Source organism: Homo sapiens, chromosome 4 (assembly GCF_000001405.40).
Source record: "Homo sapiens chromosome 4, GRCh38.p14 Primary Assembly".
NCBI classification, from domain to species: domain Eukaryota; kingdom Metazoa; phylum Chordata; class Mammalia; order Primates; family Hominidae; genus Homo; species Homo sapiens.
The window spans coordinates 115,973,346-115,992,531 of NC_000004.12; the positions used below are offsets into that span (position 1 = coordinate 115,973,346).

The 19,186-nt window shown below is 38.7% G+C and overlaps 3 annotated features.

The window, feature by feature from the left end:
- Positions 305-968: an enhancer, noted in NCBI's record as "OCT4-NANOG hESC enhancer chr4:116894806-116895469 (GRCh37/hg19 assembly coordinates)". NCBI's record gives its function as "activates a minimal SCP1, AML or CMV promoter by ChIP-STARR-seq in primed H9 embryonic stem cells {active_cell/tissue: H9 hESC(primed)}" and the evidence as "EXISTENCE:reporter gene assay evidence [ECO:0000049][PMID:30033119]".
- Positions 2,410-3,251: an enhancer, noted in NCBI's record as "OCT4-NANOG-H3K27ac hESC enhancer chr4:116896911-116897752 (GRCh37/hg19 assembly coordinates)". NCBI's record gives its function as "activates a minimal SCP1, AML or CMV promoter by ChIP-STARR-seq in naive H9 embryonic stem cells {active_cell/tissue: H9 hESC(naive)}" and the evidence as "EXISTENCE:reporter gene assay evidence [ECO:0000049][PMID:30033119]".
- Positions 5,157-5,657: an enhancer, noted in NCBI's record as "H3K27ac hESC enhancer chr4:116899658-116900158 (GRCh37/hg19 assembly coordinates)". NCBI's record gives its function as "activates a minimal SCP1, AML or CMV promoter by ChIP-STARR-seq in primed H9 embryonic stem cells {active_cell/tissue: H9 hESC(primed)}" and the evidence as "EXISTENCE:reporter gene assay evidence [ECO:0000049][PMID:30033119]".

Genomic DNA, 19,186 nt, shown 5'->3' on the forward strand with positions numbered 1-19,186 from the left:
GACAACTTTTGCCTTTTAATATCCAGTACCTAAGTATTGATCTGTATTGCAAAGCACTGTACTTATTCCACTAGGTAATTACTGGGAAATATACAGAATCGTGTGTTTGTGCGTGCGTGCGTGTGTGTGTGTGTGTTGGTTTTCATGATTCAATAAGTTGATTTAAATAAATAATGTATTTCACATAGTAAGCACCCAATACATTTTAGTGTTGCTGTTATATTTATTATTAGGCCCCCATATTAAGTGAGCCCTAAATTTTAGCTTGTGCACTTCCTTTTTTTTAGGAATGAATGTAACTCTTGTATAGCCATATCTAAGAAATTGCACCTGACACAGTTAAACAAGCAAGGAAATCTATTTAATATGATTGCAATAGGACAGAGAGACTGAGCTGAACTCCACTGAAATAAAAGGCAGGAAGATGCTTAGGCACTGGGGTGAGCTAGTAGAAAAACACTGTAGGACTATAGAGATCGATGTGATTAGGCCAATAATTAGAATGTTAGTGCTAATTGTCACTCACTGAAGTTGTGCTCCTACCTTCCCACTGAGACTAGAAGATAAGAGTAGGCAGTACCTCCTTTGATTACATTTCAAAAGGATAGCTCCCAGAGAAAACATTCCTTGAGAAACATTCTTTGGGTTTTAAAAACTCATGCAAAGCTGGGAGAAGATTTACATTTCAAAGGAGAAAAAGGGCTAAATTACAAGTTTTCTAAAGTAAATGCTCTGAGAAAAGGGAGGTCAGCCCTATAGTCAGGAAGAAATCTTTCTAAAGTTAACTAAAGCTGACAGGAACATTAAGGCAGTCTTGGTGAGCTCATATATATTAATATAAAATGAGGAAGAGGTGGGTCAAAGTTTCTTCTGAACTATCCTGAAAAAATGATTTGCCCTTAGATTAACTGGGATTATAATTAGCCTGGAATTTAGAAAAACTGAAAGTTCAGAATAATTTTTAAAGAGGAAATATACTCTTTTATTTTGATAAAAACAAAGCAATACTAAAAAGAAAATTTGCCAAGTAAAAATTCTTCTATATTCCTTTATTTTTATTATTAGTAAGCAATGTTACTGAAGAGACATGATTCAGGAATCCGTACAAAGTAGATAGAGCAAATATCAAAGTTAAAGCAAGGATTTTCTTGAACTCTGAGCAGATAAATTATGCCTTTGAAGCATATTCTCTATTCACCTAATGGGCAAAGCTTAATGTAATGGTTGCTTAATGTTTATCTAGATGGAGCAATATGAAGAAATTCCAGTACTGAGCCATTTTTAAAGTCTTTTAATGACAATCTAAGGAACTATGCTGGTATCTTTAATAGATTTGAAATGATTAAATGGAGAATAACAGCACATTAAAAGTCATCTGAAAATCCATGAGGCATGTCCTCAGTAAAACAATCATCAAGCCAGATTTTTAAAATAGAGATGACTGAATGCCAAAATAGAAGGTCAAACTATGCTAGAATTTAAAATTAAATATACAGCCTTCACTGGAAGACATATATTGAAGTTATGAAGGTAAAAAAAAAAGTTCTAAATGTACTCAGAAGAGGATAACATGAATATTCAAGTCTTTGTATGAGTTGTTAACAAAAGGATCATTGTCTCCATTTCATAAGGGCTTAATTTATGATAAATCTTGTATATTTGTGTTTTTAGGTGAATTAGATTAGACAAAATAATGAAAATCATTTTTAAAATGAGAATTGGCAGCATCAAATATTTCCAAATTTGATCATCTATATTTTTACTATATTTAATAGAAATCTGAATAAAATTTGATTTTTTACCTTATAATATTTCTACTGAAAATAGTGTAACCACCCAACGGGTTCACCTTGTCTGTTGTCTAGACAGAGCCGATTTCTGAAGACAGGGGAATTCCAATGGAGAAAGCGTAATTCACGCAGAGCTGGATGTGCAGGAGACCGGAGTTTTATTATTACTCAAATCAGTCTCCCTGAGCATTCAGGGATCTGCGTTTTTAAAGATAATTTGGCAGGTAGTGGCTCTAACCCATAATCTTGTAGCTAATTTGTTAGTCCTGCAAAGACAGACTGGTCCCCAGGCAAGAAGGGGGTCTTTTCAAGAAAGGGCTATTATCAATTTTGTTTCAGAGTCAAACCATAGACTGAATTCCTTCCCAAGGTTAGTTCGGCCGATGCCCAGGAATGAACAAGGACAGCTTAAAGGTTAGAAGCAAGATGGAGTCAGTTAAGTCTGATCTCTTTCACTGTCATAATTTCCTCAGTTATAATTTTTGTAAAGGCAGTTTCAATCGGATAAATGTGTTATCTGTAATCATAAACAAATGTCAAATAATAGTAACCTGAAAAGTATTTTCACTCGCGTCCATGTGAAGAGACCACCAAACAGGCTTTGTGTGAGCAACATGGCTGTTTATTTCACCTGGGTGCAGGCAGGCTGAGTCCAAAAAGAGAGTCAGCGAAGGGAGATAGGGGTGGGGCCGTTTTATAGGATTTGGGTAGATAAAGGAAAATTACAAAGGGGGTTGTTCTCTGGCGGGCAGGAGTGAGGGTCACAAGGTACTCAGTGGGGGAGCTTTTGAGCCAGGATGAGCCAGGAGAAGGAATTTCACAAGACAATGTCATCAGTTAAGGCAGGAACAGGCCATTTTCACTTCTTTTGTGGTGGAATGTCATGAGTTAAGGCAGGAACTGGCCATCTGGATGTGTACATGCAGGTCACAGGGGATATGATGGCTTAGCTTGGGCTCAGAGGCCTGACATTCCTGTCTTCTTATATTAATAAGAAAAAAAAATGAAATAGTGGTAAAGTGTTGGGACGGTGAAAATTTTTGCGGGGGGAATGGAGAGATAATGGGCGATGTTTCTCAGGGCTGCTTCAAGTGGGATTAGGGGCAGCGTGGGAACCTAGAGTGGGAGAGATTAAGCTGAAGGAAGATTCTGTGGTAAGGGGTGATATTGTGGGGTTGTTAGAAGAAACATTTGTCATTTAGAATTATTGGTGATGGCCTGGATATAGTTTTGTATGAATTGAAAAATGGAATAACAGAAGGAGAAAAACAGGTATAAAAGGTCTAAGAATTGGGATGACTCAGGACATCTGATTAGAGAGTGCCTAAGGAGATTCAGCATAGTCCTGCCAGCAAAGATTATTTATTTACTTCAAGAGTTAAGAGTGGCAGTTTGGGGATAGCACCAGGAGATATCAGCTGTGATGGCTTGGAGAAACAGTGTAAACCGGCAGTGTAAACAAGAGCAGGGCATGTATGAGTAGTTGAGAATGGTGAATAGGAGTATGACTAGACAGAAGATAGTAGGGATGACAAGTTTTTTTGGGGCGCAGTCTAAGTTGGTCTGGTGTCTGGAATGAGACTGGGGCCTAATAAAAAGGAGCGTCTATACAGGAGCTCAAATGGGCTATACCTTGTAGCATTCTGAGGACAGGTCTGACTTCTGAGAAGGGAAAGTCGTAAAAGTATTGTCCAGTCCTTTTTAAGTTGGTGGCTGAGCTTGGTGAGGTGTGTTTTTAAAAGACCTTTAGTCCATTCTACTTTTCCTGAAGACAGAGGACTGAAAGGGATATAAAGGTTTCACTGAATACTAAGAGCCTGAAAAACTGCTTGGTTGATTTGACTAATAAAGGCTGGTCTGTTATCAGACTGTATAGAGGTGGGAAGGCTAAACTGAGGAATTATGTCTGGCAGAAGGGAAGAAATGACTGTGGTGGTCTTCACAGACCCTGTAGGAAAGACCTTTACCTATCCAGTGAAAGTGTCTACCTAGACTAAGAGGTATTTTAGTTCTCTGACCTGGGGCATGTTGAGTAAAGCTAATTTGCCAGTCCTAGGTGGGGGCAAATCCTTGAGCTTGATGTGTAGGGAAGGGAGGGGGCCTGAATAATCCCTGAGGAGTAGTAGAATAGCAGATGGAACACTGAGAAGTTATTTCCTTGAGGATAGATTTCCACGATGGAAAGGAAATGAGAGGTTCTAAGAGGCGGGCTAGTGGCTTGTACTATAGCATAGCCTGCCCTTGCTGGTGTGTGGCGATTAGGCCTGGTGGAGCTGCCATCAATAAATCAAACGTGATCAGGGTGAGGAACAGGAAAGAAGGAAATATGGGTGAATGTCAGGTGGATCAGAGAGATACAGTCATGGGGGTCAGGTGTGGTATCAGGAATAATGTGGGAGGCCAGATTGAAGTCCGGCCCAGGAACAGTGGTAATTGTGGGACTTAACAAAGAGTGAGTACAGCTGAAGGAGCCGGGGAGCAGAAAGTATATGCATCAGGTATGAGGAAGAAAATAGATTTTGGAAGTTATGAGAAATGTAGAGAGTAAGTTGAGCATAGTTTGTGATTTTGAGGGCCTCTAAAAGTATTAGGGCGGCAGCAGCCGCTGCACGGAGACTTGATGGCTATGCTAAAACAGTAAGGTCAAGTTATTTGCACAGAGAGGCTGCAGGGTGCGGTCCTGGCTCTTGTGTAAGAATTCTGACCGCACTAACCATGCCTAGGAAGGAAAGGAGTTGTTGTTTTGTAAGGGATTGAGGTTTGGGAGATTAATCGGACACGACCAGCAGGGAAAGCACATGTGTTTTTATGAGAATTATGCCGAGATAGGTAATAGATGAGGATGAAATTTGGGCTTGATTGAAATAATGGGAGCTGTCTGTGAAGCCTTGCGGCAGAACAGTCCAGGTAATTTGCTGAGCCTAATGGGTGTCAGGGTCAGTCCAAGTGAAAGTGAAGAGAGGCTGGGATGACGGGTGCAAAGGAATAGTAAAGAAAGCATGTTTGAGATCCAAAACAGAATAATGGATTGTGGAGGGAGGTATTGAGGATAGGAGAGTATATGGGATTGGCACCATGGGGTGGATAGGCAAAACAATTTGGTTGATAAGGCATAGATCCTGAACTAACTTGTAAGGCTTGCCTGGTTTTAGGACAGGTAAAATGGGGGAATTGTAAGGAGAGTTTATAGGCTTTAAGAGGCCATGCTGTAGCAGGCGACTGATAACAGGCTTTAATCCTATCAAAGCGTGCTGTGGGATGGGATATTGGCATTGAGCAGGGTAAGGGTGATTAGGTTTTAATGAGATGGTAAGGGGTGCATGATCGGTTGCCAAGGAGGGAGTAGAGGCATCTTATACTTGTGGGTTAAGGTGGGGGAATACAAGAGGAGGACGCAAAGGAGGCTTTGGGTTGGGAAGAAGGGCAACAGTGAGATGTAGCTGTAATCCAGGAATAGTCAGGGAAGCAGATAATTTAGTTAAAGTGTTTTGGCCTAATAAGGGAACTGGGCAGGTGGGGATAACTAAAAGGAGTGCTTAAAAGAGTATTGTCTAAGTTGGCACCAGAGTTGGGGAGTTTTAAGAGGTTTAGAAGCCTGGCTGTCAATACCCACAACAGTTATGGAGGCAAGGGAAACAGGCCCTTGAAAAGAAGGTAATGTGGAGTGGGTAGCCTCCGTATTGATTAAGAAAGGGATGGACTTACCTTCCACTGTGAGAGTTACCTGAAGCTCGGCGTCCCTGATTGTCTAGGGGGCTTCTGAGGTGATCAGCCATCATCAGTCTTCAGCCGCTAAGCCAAGAAGATCTGGGAAGGAGTCAGAGAGCCTTGGGCCAGAGTTCCAGGGGCTCTGGGAGTGGCTGCCAGGTGAGTTGGACAGTCTGATTTCCAGTGGGGTCCCACACAGATAGGACGCGGCTTAGGAGGAATCCTGGGCTGCAGGCATTCCTCGGCCTGGTGGCCAGATTTCTGGCAATTATAGGAAGCTCCTGGGGGAGGAGGTTCTGGAGGAATGCGTGGCTGCTGCGATTCAGGCATCTGGAAGTTCTTGTGTGCTGGAGATGTGGCTGGGGTTTGTCTCACAGTGGAGGCAAGGAATTGCAACTTTTTTCTATTATTGTACACCTTGAAGGTGAGGTTAATTAAATCCTGTTGTGGGGTTTGAGGGACGGAATTTAATTTTTGGAGTTTTATTTAATGTCGGGAGCAGATTGGGTAATAAAATGTATTTTGAGAATAAGACGGCCTTTTGACCTTTTAGGGTCTAGGGCTGTAAAATGTCTCAGGGTTGCTGCCAAATGAGTCATGAACTGGGCTGGGTTTCTATATTTGATGAAAAAGAGCCTAAACACTATCTGATTTGGGACAAAGAAAAAGGAGCATTAATCTTGATTATGCCTTTAGCTCCAGTCACCTTTTTAAGAGTACATTGCTGGGCAGGTGGGGGAGGGCTAGTCACGGAATGAAACTGTAAGCCGGACCGGGTGTGAGGAGGGGAGGTGATAAAAGGATTATAGGGTGGAGGAGCGGAGGCTGAGGAAGAATTGGGACCTAGCTCGGCCTGGCAAGGAGCAGCCTGGGGAGGAGGGGAGAGGTCAGATGGGTCTGTAGAAAAGGAAGATTAGAAAGACTCAGCGACGCTTGGGGTTGGGATGAGGGGACAGGTGGGAGGGAAAGAAGGAAGATTTGGGATGAGTTGCATTGGGAACAGAGACTAGAGAGGGACCGATGTGTAAAAGAATGCCTGGACATCAGGCACCTCAGACCATTTGCCCATTTTATGACAAGAATTATTTAGATCTTGTAGGATGGGAAAATTGAAAGTGCCATTTTCTGGCTATTTGGAACTACTGTCGAGTTTGTATTGGGGTCAAGTGGCATTGCAGAAGAAAATAAGATGCTTAGATTTTAGGTCAGGTGAGAGTTGAAGAGGTTTTAAGTTTTTGAGGACACAGGCTAAGGGAGAAGAAGGAGGAATGGAGGGTGGAAGGTCGCCCATAGTGAAGGAAGCAAGCCTAGAGAAAAGAGAGAGTAGAGACATGGACGGAAGGGGTTCGTGGGTTTTTACCTTCCAGAAAAGTGGGAAAGGGGTTGAGGCATGGAAATAAGGGATTGGGGCGCAGAGATACGAGGTTGGGGTACTTGCCCCTCCTCTAGAAATGTAGGACTTGCGGCTCAGGGTGAAGGAGAAGGGGTTGGGGGTTTCTTGCCCCCCAGAAAGGCGGAGAAGGTGTAGAGACACGGAGAGAAGGGTTTGGGGTACTTGCCCCTTCCCCAGAAAAGAGGGACTTGCTGCTAAGGGTGAAGGACCAAGGCAGGCATCCCTGCGTGGTCTGACACCTTTGAAACCTGGGTGAATAATCAGAGAGGCATCCCTGCAATGATTAAACACCAAGGGAAGGCTGCCTTTCCTAGTCCGTGACCAGCGCCGGAGTTTTGGGTCCACGGATAAAACGTGTCTCCTTTGTCTCTACCAGAATATGAAAGGAATTGAAATTAAGAGAAGGGAGAGATTGAAGGGTGGAAAGGAGAAAGTGGTTGAGGGATAGTGAGAGAGGTTGGAGAAGAGAGTAAGAAGAGGCCGCTTACCTGATTTAAAATTGGTGAGATGTTCCTTGGGCTGGTGGGTCTGAGGACCTGAGGTCGTACGTAGGTGGATCTTTTTCACAGAGCAAAGAACAGGAGGACAGGGGATTGATCTCCCAAGGGAGGTCCCCTGATCCGAGTCATGGCACCAAATTTCACTCGCGTCCGTGTGAAGAGACCACCAAACAGGCTTTGTGTGAGCAACATGGCTGTTTATTTCACCTGGGTGCAGGCAGGCTGAGTCCAAAAAGAGAGTCAGCGAAGGGAGATAGGGATGAGGCCGTTTTATAGGATTTGGGTAGATAAAGGAAAATTACAGTCAAACGGGGTTGTTCTCTGGTGGGCAGAGTGGGGGTCACAATGTGCTCAGTAGGGGAGCTTTTGAGCCAGGATGAGCCAGGAGAAGGAATTTCACAAGACAATGTCATCAGTTAAGGCAGGAACAGGCCATTTTCACTTCTTTTGTGGTGGAATGTCATGAGTTAAGGCAGGAACGGGTCATCTGGCTCACCACAGCCACTGACATTATTACAGTACAAGCCACCATCTCTCTCCTGAACTTCTATTAGATTGAACTACGTAGCATTGCTGCTATTTTATAATTGTTGAGCTACCAAATGGCATACATGTACATACCTGTACATGGCACACATACTGGGTTCACGCCATTGCATTCCAGCCTGGGCAACAAGAGCAAAACTCTATCTCAAAAAAAAAAAAAAAAAGAATTACATTTTGAGCATGAGTTTTTCATTTTTTATTCTTTTCACTCATTCATCCTTCAGAGAGTATACACAATGCCTATACAACAGAACAAGTAACAAATGGAGGCTAACAGTAAGATGAACCAAATGTTGCAATCAATAACAATTTTGAAAAGCAATATATCATTATAACTAGTTGAACACATGTTCAAAAATAAGGGAAGCTATGTTTATGTAGAATGAGTGGAGAAGAAATTTAAACATAAAAAAAAGTGTTCATAAAAGAACCAAACGTAAACTTTTAAACTGAAAAATACTATATCTGAAATGTGAAATTCATCAGATTGGTTCAACAGCAAATTAGAGATAAAAGGTAGAGCTATTAAAGGCTGATAAATATTATTCAATCTAAAAGATAATTAAAAAAATTAACACAAACTCAAAAATTGCCAGACATTATTAAAAAACCTAACATGCATAATTGGTAGTCCCAGAAGGAGAAGAGCGAACGGAAAAATTTTATTTTAATAGATAAAGCTTGAAAACTCCTCAGACTTGAAAAACAAACTTCTTACAAATTTCACTTTAAACTCAACATTGTAACATTGTGTGTTGGTTGATAACATAGATGTAATATGTGTGTACGTATAGATAGATATGGCATTAAAGATAGGAGTGTGGTCATACACAGTTGTAAGATCCTCAAATTTCATGTAAAGTGGAACATTATTGAATCTTAGTAGACTGTGAAAAGTAAAAGAATGTGATATTCTTAGAGAAACCATATAATATAATTTGGAGAGATTTAGCTAAAAAGCTTAACTATTAATTACCTTCCAAATTCTAATAAACACGAACAAAGTAAAAAAGGAGAAACAGGAAAAAATTGGAATAATCAATAAACAGAAAACAGTACAAATATATTGAACCATATCATTAATTATCTTAAAAGTAAGTGAAACAAAGTACAGAGGCTTCAAGATTTATAAGATGAGAAAAGACACCACTATATGCTTCCATAAAAGACTTAAGCTGAAGATAAATGAATGGAGGACTACACACAATAAATATAGAAACATATTAACAAAGATAAATGTTGAATAATGAAGAGATGGTCAACTTATCAGAAACATAAATAGAAGCTTCTGTGTAGTATTAGGGCTTTAAGATAAATTTTAAAACTTTAGCTTATAAGAATAAGAAATAAATATGTTTCATTTCAGCAATTGACATAACACCTAGCAATAAAAATCAGTGAAAATAATATTTAAATAATATTTTAAACCATGTAGGGCCAAGTGACAGCTATAAAGCTACACCAAATATATACAATATGCATCATTTACACAAAAATTGGCCATACACTAGGTCATAAAAGGATTCTCAATAAATACATAAGATTTTAAATGACTATGTTATTTGTTCTGGAGTATATGTTCTCTGAGAATGAAATTAAGTTAGAGATCAGTAAGATACATAGAACATTCTAGACTTTTGGAAAGTGTATAACACATTTGTTAATAGCCCAAGGTCAAAATAAAAAGTTACAAGAAAATAGGAAATAGTTTGCACTGAAAAGATTATGAAAATAAAACAGACGCTGGGTGCAGTGGCTCATGCCTATAATCCCAGCACTTTGGGAGGCCAAGGTGGGTGGATCACCTGAGGTCGGGAGTTTGAGACCTGCCTGACCAACATGGAGAAACCCCGTCTCTACTAAAAATACAAAATTAGCCCCGCATGGCGGCATATGCCTGTAATCCCAGCTACTCGGGAGGCTGAGGCAGGAGAATTGCTTGAACCCTGGAGGCGGAGTTTGCAGTGAGCTGAGATCACGCCATTGCACTCCAGCCTGGGATTCAAGAACGAAACTTTGTCTCAAAAATAGAAAAAAATAAAAAACAAAAGAAAACAGATGATGAACAGGATGCAGAAAAGCACTGCTCAGAAACAAATTTAACACTTGAAATATTTATATTAGAAAATTACAAATATCTACAATTCTAACATGATTCTAATTTAAGAAGCAGAAAAAAAACCAAAATAAATCTAAAAAATGGAAGAAAATAAATGAAAGAAAATTAACAGTAGAACTAAATATATAAAACAGGAAATTAAAAAAAATTTGGCTCATTGAAAAAGATCAATAAAATTTTGAAATGACAAGCTATAAAAATGATTATGACCATAGATATATATATATATATATATATATATATATATATATATATATATATATATATAGTAAATCTGAACTCAAGTCATTCTCAGACTTTATCTCTGCCAGGACTTTTCCTTCCTTTTTCTACCTAAACTCCAGAGCTATATTGATTTGGCTTTAATTTACCAAGGATACAATGTTACTGCAAGTCTTAGCATCATATTCCCTATTCTTTTATTATTGGTTCTACTACTACCAAAAGTAGTACTAACACTACAGCACACTGAAAATTCCTTTAAGTTTCTTAATCAATGCAAAGGTATTGGGAAGCAAACACGTATGTTCTTTTCTTACCCATAGGAAGTAGAGCAGGGGTCTGCAACCCCCAGGCCATAGATGGATACCGGTCCATGCCCTGTTAGGAGGTGGGCCACACAGCAGGAAATCAACAGCAGGCAAGTGAGCATTACCGCCTGAGCTCTACCTGAGCTCTGCCTGAGCTCTGATCCTATCAGATCAGCAGGTGCACTAGATTCTTATAGGGGCCTGAATTCTATTGTAAACTGCACATGTGAGGATGTAGATTGCCCACACCTTATGAGAATCTAATTAATGCCTGATGATTTGAGGTGGAAAAGTTTCATCCTGATATCATTGCCCACCACACCCTGCCTGTGGAAAAATTGTTTTCCACAGAACGGGTCCCTGGTGCCAAAAAGGTTGGGGACCAGGGCCATAGAGGATGGCTTCTAAACATTTTGTTTATTAAGAGTCTTGCATCCATTAAAGAAGAAAAAATCTTTTTCATGTAGGGTGAATATGATTACAGGTATAAATATGTATATATGAAATAGATGATACTCTGTTTCAAGTAAAAAATAAAAAGGGGCACTTTTTTTTCCTAAGTAAAATAAATCTCTTTAAGTTTTAATACAAAACCATTTTTTAAAAGCTAAAATTAAGGCAAAGACTTTCTGAATTGTTTTTAAACTTTTATCTTGTTTAGCAAGATCATTTTAAAATTACGACGTGTGTGTGACTGTATCTTTTTACATCTGCTATGCTCTCAGTCTTTATATTGCATGTTTAACACAGGCTCCATTGTTGAGATATAATTTACACTCTGAAGGACCATGAGACAATAATCCTTGCCTACATTTTAATTGGAATTTAATTACATTAAGTAGCCTGTTTATTAAAATATCTGTTCTTAAAAAGATTCTACAATAATCCCTTCTCATTCAATTTATAATCAAATTTGAGGCTATTATTTATTTCAGAGTTTTGTCATATCAGCAGTACTAATCTAGATGATAGATTAAATTTGGGTCTGTATGTGCATCAGAATTATTTATGCATGGGTTTGTGTATCTCAATTATGTGTACATATATTTCAGAATTATACACGTATAATGTGTATGTGCATGTGTATATCAGAATTCTATATGTATATGTGTTTCTATCAGAACTATATGTGCATATCAAAAATATGTAGGTATCAGATATATATTAGAATTTTCTCATGCTTAATTTTTATTGCATATTTTTTCAAATAACAATTTCTGAATAGTAATAATATATCTTCATTTTTCTATATATAAATTTAAACACCATGTCTAGTAATTTCCCCAAAGGTCAGAAGACAAGTTCTTAATCAAATCTGGCTTTTGCCATTTAAGATTTACATTTAGTCCATTCAGGAAGAACTGTTGTTTCCTCTCTGTCATCAATGATCATACGCATGTGTTTGGTGGTGGTTCTAGAACAGTTTCTATTTTAAGCCTGTTGTCTGGAATAATTATTATTATTCCCCCTTCTTACTCTTAAATATTCCTGTGTTTGAATAATAATGTAAGTGGTCTTCAGCCTCTAGCAGCATTTTATTTGTAAGGTTTATGCATCACCATGTCATCAGGAGTAGATACCTAGCCTCTGTCAACTCATCACCATGCACCTACTGAGATATAAGCCATATCTTTCTCACTCTGATTTTATCCACCTAGATTTCCTGGAGTACTACTCCAGTGACTCTTTTGTCCAGTCACTGGTCTGGGCAAACTAAACTGTCTTCTTTCAGACAACAAAGTTTCCATAAATCTGTTGGCTTTTTCAATCATTTTTTATTCCTCTCTGGCATATGTGAAAATTTGGATCTTCCCTTAAGACTCTCTCAAGTTATAGGAAAATGGGGATAAAAAGTAGCACTATGACTCTCTCTGCTTAGACCCATGATGCCACCCCTTGTACTCTATGAGCCTATCCTATTATGAATAGGTGCACAGAAAATATTTACTTTCAAAATCTCGCCTTGGAGGTTAGTATATTTCTTCTCAGTGTTTGGATTACTGACCTTACCTGGAAGTTGATTTTTCTCCCCATCCAGGACTAGACCTCTAGGTAGAATTGGGCACAGAGTCCTCATCACTGAATCAAAATATCTTGTAGCCTATTGATAGCAGCAGGAGACAGATGAATTCTGAGACAGACAGGGATGGGTCTCCAGTGAAACCTGACCTTCAAGCCAAAGACAATTTAAAGTCTGAAAGCTGAGCTGCCAGTTCCAGATGGAGTCCATGACTGGAGTGAGAACTTCCTTGATGCCTTTTAGCCAATTGAACGGTGCTTTTTCCAGGCCCGTATGGACAATTCAGCACACACTTACCCATTATGAGCCCATAAAAACCCAGGACTCAGCCTCGCAGATGGCTACCTGCTTTTGAGCCCCCTCTCAAACAGAAGGATACCCACTCTGGGTCCCTTCTTATGTTGAAAGCTTTTCTGTCACTCGATAAAAATCTTCTCTGCCTTGGTCACTCTCTGGTATTCATGTACCTCAGTCTTCGTGGTCATGGGACAAGAACCCAGAACCCGCTGAGCTGTAACACTATTACCTTCCCTCTGGCTCTTGTTTAACAGGGGAGAAAAAGCTGCTGGGTGCCACATGCTCTCGCTGGCCAAGCTGTGGGCAGTGGAACTGAATGAGATGTGATACTTCCTGGGGACTCAGACCTCTGTACTTCTCACACAAAAGGTGTTAACGCTCCTTGAAGCTCAGCAGTTGCTGGCATCTCCAAGTTTTTGGGTGACGCAGCATCCCCCTCATCCACACACTGGGACCCAAGGCAGAAGCCAGTCGCAACACACCTGGACTAGCCGCAGGTTGAGCACAAAGCCACTGCAGGCACAGAATCCTGGCTGATAGTGCGAGCAGCAGAGCACAGCATGCCAGGCTGAGTGGGTGGAGTGAGCCCAGCTGGCTTGAGCAAAGCCTGGGCAGAGGCACTGCCAGCCATGGAGAATTCCAGTTGGCAAAGTGGCACCAAAGAACCCCATGGTAATATTATAACTCTTCGTTTCCTCTAGCTCAGAAAATAGTTATTTAGTCCACATAATGTTTAGGGGGGCACAATGTGCATGCAAAAGAAAAGTTCAAATTTATCCCACTTGTTTTCTATCAAAATAACTATGTGAAATTGCTAAAATTCAAGAGTTTTTGAAGAGGGGGTATATTATGGTCCCAACATTAGCTCTTTCACTTAGAGGAAAAAAGCAGCTATATGAGTAAAGTATGCCAAATAAAGAGTGGAGTTGAAACACAGGGAGAAAAATAATTTTTAGTTAAGAATTCACTGTTCCATCACTCCATTTTCGATAGCGGAGTGGGGCTAACATAGTTTAAGCAACATGGTCACAAACTAGTAGCTTATTAAGATAATTATATGGTAGCACAAAGTAAGGAAAACAAAGTTTAAGGTGTCTTTAGTTTTTACATATTGCACAATATATTGCTATACATGATCAGAAAATGAGAGATTCCTAATACACAGGGCCCCAAAATAGAAAAAAAATTGTTTATCACTATAGGCAGTCAACATGGGTATAAAAAAAGTGAAGCCAGTCACCTGCAGGAACAGAACCAGTAGTGAGGTCATAGCTACAAAGTTTGGAACCTCTCTTAAAAGAAGAGTACAGCTATAGCTTTTCAAAATTTTCGAAAAGAGAGCTCTCATGGCACCACTGCACTCCAGCCTGGGCAACAGAGCGAGACTCCATCTCAAAAAATAAAATAAAATAAAAAAATAAAAACAAAATGAGTAATTTCTGACTATAATTTATTTCATATGAGAAAGTAACAGATTTTGTTGAAAGGCCCTTTGAGAGTAATACTTATCATTTGCTTGTGTCAACTTAGAATTGTGAAATTTTCAAAAGATAGTAACAATTTTGTTGGGTTATTAAAAAGGATAGAGTAGTCAGCCTTCCTTGATTTTCATTATTGTTCTTTGAGTGTTGCTCATGATTTGTGTTTGATTCTTTCCTTTTTTGGTGTTTATTACTTTTATTGTTTATTCATTAGGGTAAGAGTAAAAGCTCATGGTATGATAATCTTTACAGGAAATTACTTTCCCTCTCTTAACATACCCCTACAGATATACTAACCTAAAAATAGACAGAATTTTGCTCATGCCTTTCATTGCATAGCTGATCAAAAATTCACCTGACTCTTCAATTTCAGAATCAGTATGTATTTGAACTCTGTGTATGGCTTCATGATACAATGTAGTGGAATACTGAAAGAGAATCTATCTGGCATTGTCATGTAGTTGCCATTTTATTATTTATTTATTTATTTATTTATTTATTTTTTGAGACGGAGTCTCGCTCTGTCACCAAGGCTGGAGTGCAGCGGCTGATCTCGGCTCACTGCCAACTCCACCTCCCGGGTTCAGGCCATTCTCTTGCCTCAGCCTCCGAGTAGCTGGGATTACAGGCGCCCGCCACCACGCCCGGCTAATTTTTTGTATTTTTAGTAGAGATGGGGTTTCACCATGTTAGCCAGGGTGGTCTCGATCTCCTGACCTTGTGATCTGCCCGCCTTGGCCTCCCGAAGTGCTGGGATTACAGGCGTGAGCCACCGCGCCTGGCACATATAGTTGCCATTTTAAACCTGAATATAGTAATTTTGAGGATAATGACATACGTCAGGGAAAAGAAAAGAAACTACCATTGAAATATTATTATTGGGTACTCTGTAGTTTTTAAAAAGTAAATCATGTAATAAAAACTTAAAATGCCAAAAACCGTCAAGGCACCAAATACCTGATTAGATAAACAAAGGCAAATCTACTAACATTTCATTTCAAAACTTGCATTTTATACAAGCATTTTCTTTCTTTTTTTTTTTTTTAGAGTCTCACTCTGCCGCCGAGGCTGGAGTGCAGTGGCGCGATCTTGGCTCAATGCAAGCTATGCCTCCTGGGTTCACGCCATTCTCCGGCCTCAGCCTCCCGAGTAGCTGGAACTACAGGCATCCGCCACCAAGTTCGGCTAATTTTTATTTTTTTATTTTTTTGTATTTTTAGTAGAGACGGGGTTTTACAGGGTTAGCCATGATGGTCTCGATCTCCTGACTTCGTGATCCGCCCGCCTTGCCTCACAAAGTGCTGGGATTACTGGCGTGAGCCACCGCGCCTGGCCACAAGCATTTTCTTAAATAAGTGAGGTGAAACAACAAAGTCACCTGAAGCAAGTTTCAAATAGGATACAGAAGTAACTAAATCTTAAAGTTAAAAATATCAGAATACATCTAGCAAAAAAAGATTTAAAATATTACATATATTTAAAAATCAATATAATATTATGGGCATACATATTTTGTTGACAATTTAAAAAATATTTAGCATGTACTTGAATATTTGAAATTATATAAAACCAATTAAAATGTATTTGGCAGAAAATGCAGGTATTTCAGGTAACATAATCAGAGTACACTTAAAGCCTTAGAGAAATTAAAAAAAAAAAAAAACTTCACAGTATTACTATGTTTGACAATTCTGATTACTCATATATTAAAAAATTAAGTCATTATAGGATACTAGAAGTCTCAACTGATTGAAAACATAACCTTGTATTATATTCTAGTATAATGCATACTAATTATACGCATACCAGCATATATTAAAGAATCAAACATTTCAGGCCAATTTTTATTGGGAAATTTTTGTCTTCCACCTATTTCTGTCAGAAATTTATTAACCAAGGTGTTGGTAATGAAGTAAAATTCACATGACATAAAATTCACCACTTTAAAAAATATAATTCAGCCACATTAGGTACATATATAATGTTGTTTAACCACCACCATCTATTTTCAAAACATTTTTTTGTCTCAGAAGAAAATGCAATACCCATTAATCACTTCCCATCGTTCCCTCCCCTCAGTCTCTGAAAACCATCATTTTGCTTTTTGTCCGTATGGATTTACCTGTTCTGAATGTTACACACAAATAGAATCCTAAATATGTATATGTGTTTATACACACACATACACACACACACACGCACCATATTTTGTTTATTCATTAATCTGTTGATGAACATTTGGCATGTTTTCACTTTTGGCTACTGTCAGTAGTCTTTCCAAAATGTCTTGGGGAAGTAAATATCTTGAAGTGGAATTGCTGTGTAATATGATTATTCTACGTTTAAATTTGACAGAAGAACTGCCAAAATTCCCACCATGGCTGCAACACTATACATTCCTATCAGCGACGTGCAAAGGATTCCAATTTCTACATATCCTTCCAAACACTTTTTATTTTCTTTTTAAAAAGTCATTATAGTCATTCATGGATTTGAAATCGTATCTCATTGTAGTTTTGATTTGTATTTCCCTAATGGTCAATGATGTTAAACACCTTTTATGAATTTTAAGCGACGTCTTTTATGATAATATTTTCCCAGTGTGATACTGCCAGTTTTTTCCCCCATGGTAAAGGATAATTATGAACATTGCAGAAATTTCCAAACTCTCTAAAATATGATTACTTTTAAAAAGATATAATTAAAAATGTGTATTAAAATCACCTTAACAAAATTCAATGACAAAGCCTGAAAATATTTAAAATGTCTTAGCTTCATTTTAATGTGAAAAAACATACAAATTCATAAGCAAACTCTAAAAATGCGGCCAATAAGCAAACAATAAGGCTTGATAATGTATATACACATTAAAATGCATAAGTAGCCATATTTAGCATGCTTGAACTCTAAAATGAAAAATCAAAACTGATGAATTTATGGTATATACGTAAGGTATGAATGTAAACTTTCTGAGAAACTACTTTTATAATGTGTATTAAGAGTCTTCAAACACCTTCATTCCAATTGATCTCAGGATTTCTTTGTAAAATTTATCCAACAAATCATCAGATAAAGTAAAAACATCAATAAATATCCACCTCACCAAAATATTATTTATCTCTGAGTAGTAAATATTATGCTCCTGTTTGTCGTAGTTTTAGCACTGCTCAAAGGTTAGTTTGGTTCAAGTAAAATGAAGTTTTTTTCTGGATTAAAAATGGTTGACTGTGGGCATTTACGTATGGTGTAACCTATATAATACTTACGTTAAAAAAATTACAGTAAAAAAAGTGTTAGAACTCAATATTAGAAAAACATGCACCAAATTTGTTTGGTTTTGGTGAATTATAAGATGTGGTGGCTGGTGGTGTTTTTGCCCACCATTCTGTTTGTTACCCTTCCTCTATAATTTTAATGCCTTTCTTTGAAGAACTGGTATATTTTCCATAGTATATTCCAGCTACATCTAAACTTACAGGATAAAATACATATCATTTAGCTTTTGTTGCATAACAAAACATCTCAAAGCTTCATGTCTCAGAGCAAAATCGAATTTATTTGCTTGAAATCCTGTGGATCAGCCAGTGTTATTTTAGACTGGTCCAGGTGGGCTGATCTCTGTGGTAAGCTAATAGCTTGCTTGACTGTGAAGGGATGGTCAGAGATATCCTCACCCTTATACCTGGGGTCTCATCACTGACTTATGGGATTGCTGAGGCCTGTCTATACATGGTCTTTCCTCCCCAAATGGGCAAACCTTGGATTATTCACATAGTGGAAAAGCGTAGGGTAGAAATAAAGGGGCAAGCCCAGAGCACAAGCACTTTTCAGTTCTCTGCTAGTATCATAATTGCTAATGACAATTAGATGAAATAATAAGACCCAAGTCCAGATTCAAGAGTGGAAAATAGATTCCATTTCTTCGTGGGATAAACTGCAAAATATTATATTTTCCAATCAGAACAGAAGTGTTTTTCTGTTGTGGTGTGTTGTTTTTCCTATTTACTCACAGGGACTAAGCATCTGATTCTGAGCATCTTAATATATGAAAGTAAATGGTGGCAGAATGAATGTGGCTTATTACTTCCACGCCTTTTATTGAATCTGGAAAGCATAAGTTTTCCATTAGGGAGATTGTTGGCTATATGTGAAGAATATTCAAATTTCTGTTAAATAATAGTAACTGTGTGTTTGAGTGTCCTTAAAAAGATATCTATGAGAGACCTGTAGACCATTTTCTTTCCTATCCTAATAACAACAAGCTTTGAAGATGAGTGGTGAAGGTGGGTCTGAATTACCAGATCAAATTTACTGTGAATGACTCCTCCTTTCACAACTTTGAAATCAATGGACTGATGCAGAAATAAGAGTAATGCCCATTTTAAATGCTTACAATGTTTTCAAGTCTGTCATATGTGAATTTTTGTTCTATTGAACACTGCAGCAATGAGTTTGAAACTTTTTTTTTTTTTTCTGAGACGGGGTCTCGCTCTGTCGCCCAGGCTGGAGTGCAGTGGCGCGATCTCAGCTCACTGCAAGCTCCGCCTCCTGGGTTCACGCCATTCTCCTGCCTCAGCCTCTCCGAGTAGCTGGGACTACAGGCGACCGCCACCACGCCTGGCTAATTTTTTATATTTTTAGTAGAGACGGGATTTCACTGTGGTCTCCATCTCCTGACCTTGTGATCTGCCCGCCTCGGCCTCCCAAAGTGCTGGGATTACAAGCGTGAGCCACCGCGCCCAGCCGAGTTTGAAACTTCAAAGTGGCACTCATAACAGAAGAGGTAGTGCCTTGTGGACTAC